Source organism: Homo sapiens, chromosome 11, assembly GCF_000001405.40.
Source record: "Homo sapiens chromosome 11, GRCh38.p14 Primary Assembly".
In the NCBI taxonomy this organism is placed as follows: domain Eukaryota; kingdom Metazoa; phylum Chordata; class Mammalia; order Primates; family Hominidae; genus Homo; species Homo sapiens.
In genome coordinates this window covers 132,305,690-132,317,787 of record NC_000011.10, presented here as the reverse complement: position 1 = coordinate 132,317,787, position 12,098 = coordinate 132,305,690, and the positions used below count along the sequence as shown (strand labels likewise).

At 44.2% G+C, this 12,098-nt stretch overlaps 1 protein-coding gene across 45 annotated transcripts in view; it reads right to left on the bottom strand.

Moving 5' to 3' along the window:
- Positions 1-12,098, bottom strand: part of NTM (neurotrimin) — a 966,208-nt gene that overhangs the window by 19,035 nt on the left and 935,075 nt on the right. For 22 of the 45 annotated variants that reach the window (NR_170351.1, NR_170346.1, NR_170354.1 and 19 more), the window contains 3 exons: positions 9,965-10,099; positions 7,556-7,676; positions 3,085-3,236 (listed from right to left, as the gene is read on the bottom strand). Coding sequence is in view for 19 of the 45 variants with exons in the window: in NM_001352006.2 (NP_001338935.1) it covers positions 3,085-3,236; positions 7,556-7,676; positions 9,965-10,099 (408 nt within the window). In the remaining 26 variants the exon portion in view is untranslated. Of the gene's footprint in view, positions 1-97; positions 134-185; positions 3,237-5,005; positions 5,124-7,555; positions 7,677-9,964; positions 10,100-11,319; positions 11,494-12,098 lie in introns of those variants that run through there. The other 23 variants (NR_170352.1, NR_170347.1, NR_170355.1 and 20 more) reach the window with 6 other exon arrangements.

The window sequence follows — 12,098 nt, the reverse complement described above, 5'->3', positions numbered from 1 at the left end:
TTTACAGACAAGTGCTTCGGGTAATGCACAGCAGGGGAAGGGGGCCTCTGGGATAGAGGGAAGGGGAGACAAAACATAAAGCAAGGAAGATACTGACCTTGCAACAAAGTTGAGCTCGTAGGCTCATTTAGTTCTAAATCGGTTGAGGGACACACAGGAGAGAAAAATGAGAACAAACACATATATTATATACAGTGCTATATATTTGTCATATATAGTTTGTATACTGCCTTTCACAGACATTTCTGGGGGATTATATAAAAAAAAGGAAGACAGAAACCAAAGGCGTAGGACAAGGTGCGGCAAGAGAAACGCTGACATGCTTTATGTTTCCATATTGAATGCCGTGACTGGGAAGGCAGGGAGCTGGTTACGCCATACATATTCTGGTGCAGTTGGATTCACTCTTAGCTCATGCTGAGCCATGCTACTAACTGGATAACAAAGGACTAAAGTTTCCTTCCAGATGAGACTTGTTTCCCACTTCCCCACCCCCATCGTTTCATCTTAGGACACCAAATTCAGAAATTTTTGCCCCTGGCACCACGGTAGGAACGAACGAGCTCCCCAGAGCACTGTGATTCAGGAGTGCGGGAGCAGAACTCTCAGAGGCCCCTGCAAGCCCTGTCACCTTAGCGATCAGGTGCTTGTGATGGGAAGGACTAACCTGCTCCCGTTTGGCTTAAGTATTCCCAGACCGCCGACTATGGTCTCTTGCACCAGAATTCCTCACTTCTCAACGTCTAGGCCACTTGGAGAGAGCGTGCAGTTTATGCACAAGTTGGTGGCAAAATGATGATAATTTTGCTGCCTTTCTAACTTCATCAAGAAGTTTGTATATTCGCAAAAAGTACATGCTGCTTTCCAACCTGCCCCAAGTGTGCTTGTTGGCTTTTAATGGAAACTGACATGGAAAATTCCCTAACAAACAAACAAATTCATATTTGTCAAAAGACCTCATTGATGGTGAGCCTCAATAATGAACCTAGGAGCCACAATAACATCCGAACTATTGGCTGCAAATACTCATCTCACACAGGAATGGGGTTTGCGAGCTCCACAGAATTATGTTACCCAGGCAGCATTGCTAGTGATGGACTCCTCAGGAATGATCTCTCAACTGAAGCTAACAAATTAAATTGGTTTCTGATTGAAACATCCTGCAAACTTTTTCTCCCCTAGAGATTTAGCATGTTAAGGCTCCGGGACTTCTGGCATTAAAGAACATCCCCACATGTACCCCACTCATCTTGGTGTGACCCACTCTTTCTAAACATATTTGAATACATACTACTACTTTTCCATGTCCTTTTTAGAAAACCCTGGACGCCAGAGAGCTGGCAATGGTAGAAACGTCCCAAAGGAGGCACAGGGCAGATGCTGATTGATAGACCCATAGGGTGGGGGGCATGGGAAGTAGACATTGTAATTGCTACATGTGTGCCTGCTGAAAAGAGCATATTTATGACCTGCACTTCACTGCTTTCCTTGTCATAAATGTCATCTATTCAACTCTTACGAGAACTGTTTGTTTGCTGCTTCTCCCTATTCTCATCCTGAGATGGCTTAAGGAGAAGAAGCCGGGGAAGTATACAATCATGATAAAGCCAATGGCTGAACCATTTCATGCAACCAAGTCAGGAGAGAGTAGGTCAAAGTGGGGGGTGGCGGGGGGAAGACTACCCCTGTGAGGATGAGGAGTGCTGTGGGTGGAGAGCAGGACTTGGGTTAATGGGAAACTGAGGGGGAGCCTTAGATTTAGATTTGCAAAGCAAGGGAAGGAGGGGTCTGTTCCTTCCTAATCCTGGTCTCTGTTCATGCAGACAGACGCCTGCCAAAAAGGCAAAAAGGCATGAAAAATGCAAGGGGCTCTTATGATCATCCCTGTGTGAGAGATGCCAGACACATCAATCACTCAAATCACAGCTCTGCCCATTCCAAGCCACTGGCTCGGGGATCAAGGGCGGCTTTCTCCTTCCCAGCTCTCTCAGATAAAGCTGGGATTTACTATTTGTGCCGGGTAGAATGCAGGAGGATGTAATGGGTGAGCAGAGATCGTGTGGTGAAGCAGTGCAGGCTCGTGATTCAGAGCAAGCCACATACGCTAGCACCGAGGGCACATGGCTGGGCCATGGGATTATCCCAAAGTTTTCAGAATATAAGGAATTTGTGTTCTTGCAAATTATCTGTCAAATGCCTCCCCTTACTTCCCCATCACATTCAAGAGTGCTTGTTAACATGAGGGATTGGGGAGACAGGTTTGAAAAATCTCAAGCTCAAAGAACTTGATGGGGTATGAAGGAATTTGCCCAAAACACAACCGGAATTTAATCCTGTGGCCTTTAGGGAGAATCTGCGTTCATCAAGGGATGGAGCCATCATGAGAGGCCCAGGGCCCTGCCTGGTGGCACCACCAGGAAGGCAGGCTCATGTCTGCACAGCTGTCTGCTAGCAGGGGCAGGCATCAGGGTTTACAAGGGAGCTCGCTCACTTTCTTCTGATATCAATACAGTAGCCAGATATGTGACGAAGGTGGGGCTCTTCATGTCCCAGCGACTGGAGACAGTTTTGGAAAAAGGAAAATTTTACACTAAGCCAGTAAGCAAAGACTGAAATAGCAAACATTCCCCTCTGAGTTCTTGACTATTTTACCCAATTATGATTCCCACAGTCAGCTTAGGAGCCATCATCACTGAGAAAAAAAAAATCAAATGTCATTTTTGGCATTCCAAAGTATTTTTCTCCTATCTCGGGATCTTTTCCATTATAGAATGAAACATGAACATTCTTTTTCATTTTCCTTTTCCCACTTCTGAGATCTACTTTTATACATGTACTATACATATACTACTTTGTATACATGTAAACTGTATCTCTTGTTCTTTCTCTTTCTGTCTGCCTCCTCCCTGTCTCTCTGTCCCTCTCTCTCCATTTCTTTCTGTGTCTCTCTCTTTTTTTTCCTCCCTCTCCATGTCCACTGATACCCTGCTAACCTCTGACCCTGGCCTTGAGGGGCCCTCCCACCCAGCTCTCCCGTTCTGCACCCTCTCCCCTCTTCTTGCCCAGCTCAGAGCACAGTCTCACCAAATAGCATGATGCTGGCATTGGTGTGGCCCAGCTTGTTGGAGGCCACGCAAGTGTAGTTCCCATAGTCATGTTCAGAGACATTGAAGAAGATGAGTTTTGAGAGGAAAGGTCTGTTTTCCACTTTCACCCCTTTCTTTCCTTCAATCAGTCTGAGAGAAACAAAAGACAAAAAAGAAGAAAACAAGATGGTTATGTGTCCTCATAGGAAGAAGATAGGCCCAGGGATTCCTGGTCTTCTCCTTGCCCCCCTTTCTGACATCATTATAACCATTATTTGATCCACTCAACCACACCATAATGTAGTAGTAGTTCACAGACAGTGAGTGACACGTTGTTTCTTGATTTTCACACATGTGCCCAGGGGCACTCCTACCAGAACATCTGATCTCCCTAGCCTCTCATCCTTGCTTTGTAGTCTGACAGCAACACCACAACAAATAACCCCTGCCAGCTGTGTGGCATTCAGAGCAATACGATTCACACAGTAGGTGGTTCAAATGTGTGGGCCTGATGATGATGATGGTGATGGTGATGATGACAACCATGCAAATGAAAAACTCAAACTTCTGAGAGAAGAGCCACCTGAGGAATTTGAAAGAAAAATGTTTTTCGAGCACCTGGTAATCTAATTTCTCCTGAAGCACCAGAAGCATTGCATTGTATAGATAATACTTAATTTTTTGGCTATGAAGAGGAGAAAAATCATCATTTTCTCATTTTTCTCATCAGGGGACTCTGAAGGGCTTGGGAGGAGTGATCTGCCCAGACTGTTATAGAGGATTAGTCTGGAAGGATTAGAGGTTCCCAAGAATATGTCCCTTTAGAGCCAGGACAGTCTCCCTGAGCTCCACAATGGCAGCCCAGTAAGCCACAAGGACTTGCATTGGTCTGGGGGCCACTACAGAAATGCCACAGGGAGTTAGTTAGTTGGGGGAAGTGAGGTATGCTTATTAGAACCATGGATTCTATTACCAGGCAGATAAAAGGGTAAGGAGAAAGCTGCTATTGGAGTCAGTAGGCACATGTCCTCCTTCTCAGGAAGTTGTTAACAGCAATTCCTATGGCGATCATGGATACCACCTACTTTCCTTTGCAAGATTCCGAAATGTCCATTTCTTAGAATGAGCTTTAAGCCAACCTTTTACTTTTTCCCTGAAACAAACAATCTGTAATCCTTGCCCTGAAGCTGATTCTATGCTATGGGAAAGATGAATACTCTTGGGGCAAAAAACCCCTTCTTGATGAAGGATCTCAGGGAATATGGACACAAAGCTAAGTTTCCTGTTTAGGGCCTGGCTGGAGCACAGCTTGTAGCAAGCAGATAATAACATGGCGGGAGCACACTGGAACAGATTCAGGGGACATGCTTTGGGGCAAATGGATGCTATTGAGAAAAACAAACAGTACTCAAGGCTGTTTGACAATGATGAGGAAATGCTTTGCGGACCGCACAATGGCATCAGTATAATGTATTTCTATGGAGTTAGACATAGATGACTCTTGCCCATCCCTGGGTCACAGTGTTTTTTGGCATAGAGTGCAGCTGCTTTGTCATTATCTGAAGACCTGTCTCTGTGGGATTACAGAATAATTTCTCCACTCCTGCAACTTACAGTAACCTTGATCAGAAAAGAGAGGCAGGTTCTGGCCGGAGTTCTCACCCAACATCTGCCTCCAGGGAAGTCAGAAGATAGGTTGGACAGACTTGCCTTGCTTTTCATTATGTAGATGTTCCTCTGGGAGCCTTCCTCTCCAAACGCTAGGGGCAATGAACTGGCCTGAGTCCACGGCTTCATTAAAATGCTAGCACTGTCCAAATGGAATGAGGCATCCGGCTGTGCAGCCACAGGCCACTTTTACATTTCCAGCTTGCTATGTATACATTGATCCTCTAGGGGGTGCTGTCCATACCACTCACCGGGAGGATTCTGCGAGCAAGTCAGGCTGATTGATCCCACTGGCCGTTTTGACACCATTCGTCCACCATGGGGAGGAAGCTTTCCCATCATAACCAAACTGTGAATGAGATTTCAGCTCTGCAGTGGGGAGAGACTTAACTGAAAGTAGGCTCCTGCTTGACAGCTCTGAAATGTCTTTAGCTAAAAACAGCACAGGGGGCCAGCAGCACTTTGCAGGCTTTGCAGCTCCTGGGAGGACACGCTTTCCCCTTCTCTGTGCGGGCACACATCCCCTCCATCCCGCACTGCTTCCAGGCCTCAGTTTCTTACCAAAGCTGTGGACTTTTCATTGGTCAATGCCCCTGTTGGATGGGTGGCCTTCCGTAGGTATAGCATTCCATTCCTCTTCCTTTGTTGGATAACACATACAATAGCGTGCAGTTGAGTCATTCTGGCATGTGGCCAAAAGACTTCTCACCTAACTAACTCTTGAGAAAACTGCCTGTCCTCACCACACAGTTTCCTTTAATCTGCCTTGGTAGTCTGCTCATCTCACTGAAAATGGGAGATGGGCTAGAGCTGGCCTTCCCCCCAGGGCAGACACAATATGCCTTGGGAGACCTACCTGGCAGACCCAACTTGCTGTGACCAGGACCTCAGAGGCAGGGATGCTGCAGCTGAGCTGGGTGCCAGGAGGAAAGACAGCCCCTGTCTCATGCCAGCACACTGGAAATAAATAAATACATGTGCAGGGAAGGGAAAACTGACTAAACCACTAAATGGAAAGGGGAGAAAAGGAGAGGCCATCAGAAGAACTGAAAGAAAGACAGAAACAAAGCTGCCTGAGCCAGGGGCCTCTGAAGACTGTCCCTGGCCCTGCCAGCCTGCTCTCTCCTCCTGGGTGAATGGTGGCAGGGACAGCTGTCCCTATTGTGACCAGAGATGCTGCACAGAGGAGAGCTCTCTCATCCTTTTACTCGCCATTGGCCACTTTTGCTTTATTTTCCTCTAAGATTTTGCTTTCCCTTATATGTATTTTTTCTATTTTTCTCCAATAAAGAATTGGAATAATAGGACGCAGCTGATGACTTTTCATTAAGACCTAGACAATTGAAGATTTGGGAACTGACCCCATAGCTCAATAGGTTTTTTGTTTGGTTTGGTTCAATAATTAATTTTTATGCCTCAGTTTACTTCTTAGTACAATAAGAAGGTCGAAGAGGAAACGCATAAGTGAAACAGAATTTCTAAGTAAGGAAACCATATTTATCAGAAAAACACGCTCCAGTCTGCTTGATTCTTCTTTCTTGGAAGAAGGGGAAAGCCAGCTCTATTTCTTCATGAGTTTGTTTTTCCCCTTTGTGTCTTAGTTCTTTCATCTGTAAAATGGGCTACATGAATATAATACATCTCACTAGAAGCTGCCAGAATGTGTCCTTAAAAATTTTTTTTTAAAAAAACAAAACACTGCTTTTCATTTGGGAGGATTATGATAAAACCCAGTGAATCTTAAAACTGATTGACGTGGTTCTAAACAAAATTCAATTTTCGATCTAGAGACTAGAAAGAGCTTTAGGTTTCTGACTGACCTCATAAGGAAACAAAGCCAAGGCTGGCTGAAGACGTGCACACAGCGTGGGCGGCCATTCACTTGCTCCTGGCCTGCAGTTTCTCATGCTGCTCTCCTTCTCAGAATGCCCTCTTCATTGTTTTTCCTTCTCAGCCTCCTGGCCTCCCCCACTCCTTGCTCTTACTCCACCCCACATACACCTCAGGACTCTCTAGCATCCCCTATACCACCACCTCTTTTTCAATGAAAATGTTCTGAACACAGGCAGCTCTTGCCCATTTCCCGTTGTTCATCCCCCTTAAAAATGGCTCTTTGATAACAGCAATTGCCATGGTGCCTGGCTGTACTGAGCTACTGATCCCTGCACTGATATGTCATTTGATAAAGCCTGGAAATGATCATCTTCAGTGACTCACAACAAATATCCCGAGGATGCTGTGACAATGGGAAGGAAGGGAATAGTCCCTTCTCTTTTCTCCTACAGTAAAAGAACAACTTGGGCACAAAGGGAGGGCTAAATTGGGTCATGGACTCTTATACACCGCTACTGATAGTGTCTGGAACAGGAGGGGAGACCTACTAGCTGCAGCTAACTTATTAGCCACTCCCAGGGCCCTGAGAGCCTTCCTAACTCCTTTACGCAAGCCTGAGAATGTGGTAAAAATAGCTTCAGGCAGAACACATTATGTTCTTGGCCTATAAAAAATTCACAGGCCTTACAATGCTCCTGGTGGCCTTTCCTTTGTGATTTTGCCTTCCTAAAAAAAGTTACCTTTCAGATCTGTTGGTTGGCCAGTGATAATTCTACATGGTGACATTAAAAACGTAGCTGAAATCCATTAATGTTAAGAAAAGACTTCTTTGCACATTTGCCCCCTATAGAGATAAGTTCAGAAGAGGATTTTATAGAACTCGTTTGCAACAATGTGGAATCAGGACCCTGGAAAAGTTTCTCCTGGAGATGGGGGTAGGGGTGGGATAGGAAAGAAGGAAGCTTTACCTTTTGTCATCCTTGTACCACTGGAATTCTGCTGAGGGGACTGCTGAGGCTTCACACTGCAGTGTCCCCTTTTGTCCCACGGGGACACCTGTACCCTTGGCTTCTGAAATGTATGGTGGATCTGCAAAAAGAAGATGTCTCATAGCCGCCCCCCCACCTTTTTTTTTTTTTTTTTTGAGATGGAGTCTTGCTCTTGTGGCTCAGGCTGGAATGCAGTGGCATGATCTTGGCTCACTGCACGTTCTGCCTCCCGGGTTCAAGCAATTCTCCTGCATCAGCTTCCCAAGTAATTGGGATTACAGGTGCACGGCACCATGCCTGCCTAATTTTTGTATTTTTAGCAGCGACGGGGTTTCACCATGTTGGCCAGGCTGGTCTCCAACTCCTGACCTCAGGTGATCTGCTCGCCTCAGCCTCCAAAAGGGCTGGGATTACAGGGCACTGCACCTGATCTACAGCATTTTAAAATGAAGAAGGCTGCTTCATTTGTTGATTTTGTTTCTCAGTCTCTGCCCTGGCTCTGCTTACTTAGAAGGTAAAACTGCTACATAAATTGTACCAGAGAATAAAAACCTTTTTGATGCCGCTCTAAGAAAAAGCTGGGTCTTCCTTTCATGTACTGCTTTTGTTCTCCTCTGTACAGAGTTGAAATGACCATGTACTCAAGCATTTTTTCTGTTTAAACTTTTTAACTTTCATAGGATGATGCCAGCCCATCAACCCTACACTCCACGGGTTGACAGTCAGCACCTTTAATCAGCCTTCTAGAATTTCTGCACACCAGGTTCTTGCCAAAAGTATATAACCTCGAACTATTCAATTCCCATCAAAAGCTCAGTTGCAAGAAATAATATTCAAGGAGAATTGCCTGAAGGATATACAGATCAGTCATTCTTGGTATTCTAAAACAGATCCCTGAATCAAACCAGAGCAAGTGACCAAGCTAGGCCTACGCACTTGGTTTGCATTCATTTGACGTCTTTACCAAACTACTCTTCACATTCTACCAGTTTATATTAAAGGGTATTATGAAAAACAGCCACAATAAACTGGCTATTCTATTTAATGCAGAAATATTGTACATGATGTTGCTGACTCTCTCCCAAAGTGCTCTATTTGTGGAGACCCTGAAGAGAATTTTCTCTAGGGTCTCAGTACCACGAAAAGCAGTGTTTCTCCCAAGCAACTAATTTGCTTTTATCTTATGGACAACATAAATCTTAAAGCAGGTGATGTTTCCCTCTTTGCTTTAGCAAGGCTGAGCCAAATTCTGCACCTGCACCTAGCAGTCTTGTGGTAATATTTCATGTGCTGAGGTTTTCCTAGCTTTCACTCATTTTCCTAAGCGTATTTTTTCTTTGCTTCTGTTTCTTTATGTTTTAAGTTCATCTTTATAAACTGTAAATCCTCTTAAGTCCCTTTGTAAAAACTTGTGATATGATTTTTAAAATGACAGCATTTTTATACCTATTGCCTTGCTTCTTAAACCGCTTCATATTGACTGGGTTCACATTGTAACACAAACCTAAATCTGAAAGACTGGATATTCTCCTAGATACAGTATCCTTCTCCTAACTCCACGCCACCCAAGTTTTGAAGGGAAGTCATCTCGTTTGCCGATTTAGTTATTGAGTTCTATTGCTTCGTAAGTCTTCCTGGAATGTGCACAGCAGAGAAAACCTCCAGAATGTTGTAGGGAGCTAAGGCAAGGTACATAATGAGGGACCCAGAGGGAAAAGAGTGAAAGGAGGTAGCAAATTCAAGTAGGATTGATGTCAGAGACAATCTGGAAGGCTGAGAAAGGAGAATGAGGGGTCCACACAGCACCTTCCAAACTTTTTGGATTCTGTATCTCTATTAGTAACAAGCAAATTTATTGTTACATCCTCTAAGATCTATATCGTAACTATTTGTATGTATACCATGCACATCTATAATTGTAAAATAATGAGATATAATAGACATACCATAAATGGAAGTTTGAAACTTCCTTCATACACTCTAGCACATGGTTTCTTGTCCCATTATGGAGATGTCTGGTCTAGACAGTGAGAGGCTCCAGCACAACTGTATTGTGTGAGTAAATTATGGGAAAATTTTGGATTTGAAGACGTGTTTAAAAAATTATGAGCTGAATGCCATTTAATGATCTGCCAGCCATGCAAGTCAAGTTTGGCATTATTTTCAGTTACTTTAGCTACTTTTTCTTTCAGCGTGACACTGTGACACCTTGAAGTGTCAAAAACTCGAGTTTGAAATGTTTGCTCCTGAAAGCAGAGTGTGGAAAGTGGTGCTGCATTCTTCCCACCCTAAGTCAGTAGCTGGCTGTGCCAATGGGCTCTGGGTGGTGGCTGTGACAACAGGCCAGCCTGATGCACGTGCAGGGCGCGTGGTGGTGAGAACACTTACAGTTCACGGTGACCTTTACTCTCCGTACCACGGGCGCGGCCACGTCATTGGAGGCACTGCACTCGTAGTCCCCTGACTGCTCCCTGGTGATGCCCTGAATTTCCAAGTATTCGTCTTCACTCACAAAGCCAACCGCTGCGGGAAAACCGGTAACGTGTGGTGAAATACAAGGAAAAAAAAGACCAAACATGTTCACTTAGAAAACAAAGTATAAAATGGTTATGTCTGCAGATAATTTGCCAGTTGTAAGTTCAGATTCTGAGGAACTGTGTGGGTTATCCCTCCTCCGTCTCTTCTACACCTCCGCACCACCAACTTTTCCTTGGCTCCCCAGTGGAACAGCTGAAATGTTTGTGTTCCTAACTGAACAAAGCACAGTGCCTAGAGAATTACTGGTCCCAATAAGTGATTAATAATTTTGACATTTACACTGCCTGTATCTTACCAAGCCGTCGTGCTCTGGGATCTGAGTCAGGCACCTTAACTCTTTCTGATCTCAAGGTATCACTTAGACTGAGCCTTGAATATAAAATTTATGACTGCACACTTGAGCATAAATTAATTGAAAATGCCACACCAGCAGCTACATACACATACACACACACACGTGCATCACAAAGGTAGCAGAAACACTAACATAAAAAATTTAATTTTCTGTTTTTTGACTCAGACAATTAATTGGATAGGCAGAAATCAACGTGCTAAACTTCGATCTGCTAGAGCTCCTAGGTACAAGATCCTAAAGACAGACCAGCAATGGGACTCCGCACTCGATGCCTAGTTGTAAGCATGTCAGAGATTCATCAGGCGACGTGGCTGCGAATCCACTCAGTCCCCTAATCATTGCGGGACTCATTGTCTTCAGTGAAAAATTATGAGTAATAATAACAACGCTTCACATACCAGACTCTGTGCCTGACGTCTGGCCATGAGCACTCAGTTATTGAAAGACCAAGATATTTAAGGCTAGAGGAGATTTCAAAGTTCTCTCCCAGAGGCACCTGAGCCTTCGCTTCCTTGCCAAAAGACAATGAAAAACAAAAGTTAGGGCTTACATCCCAAGCTATCCTCCCTTCTCTCTTAAATGAGGGTAATTAGAAAGACAGCATCCTAAACCTGGATACCTTTAAAAGGAAATGAGGTGCTAGTAATTAATGATTATTAGCAGACAACAGGCATAAGGCTGTCCCTAGCAATTGAGAAGCATTTTCCCAAACATAATATACATACAATCCTAATACCTCACAGGGTCACGGGGCTATTTAGACTAACACACAAACATGCCTACATATATATGTACACACTCACACACACACATGCACGAAAGCACTCCAAAACTCTCGTGTGCTGCCCACCTGTTGATTTAGTTATTACTCCTATAATCTGGTTGGAGGCACAGCTTCAGGGGGTGCAGCACTGTATTAACATGAGTGGCCCAAGAAAGGGAACAAAGGGACATTTCTCTCCAGGTGAGAAAACCCTTCCATAATGCCACGTGTTTCTGCTGGCCCAGAGCACGAAAACAGTAGCTGTAAAAAACCGATACAACAAGGGATGATGTGTGCGGTATGTAAGGGATGATTGTATGTGTTCCATAACAGTGTTGAAGTCACTGTTTTGTCAAGATAACCACAATAACAATAACAACAGCAACAACAACAAGACCATGGTCTTGTGAACAAGGGCCACTGCCTTGTTCCATTCGATCAGCACTCTTTGGCCATGATAAGTCTGTGCCACTGCCCAGCAGTAGGCCCAACCGGGGCCTCATCTCATACATCTTCATGCCATATGCAAACTACACTATGTATGTACAGACGGTTTCTTGCCTCTGTTACATACAGAAGAGGAAAAGAACAGCCTATGTCCATTACAACAAACAAGAAAGAGATACTAAATTCACAAGACAAAGAAGGAACCTCTTCATAAGTAGAAAACACAGCCAAAAAGACCAGGATGTGAAGAGGACAAACAACATTAACCCAAATAGACTCATAGTTCCTACCAGTAAGACACTTCTAATGGTCTCAGTAGCCTTTATGAATATTGTTTGATAAGCATCTTTAGGGGAAAGGTACTAACCTTGATTTGAGGATGGGTGGAAGAATTGAGAAGAGCTTTAAATGAAGAATCT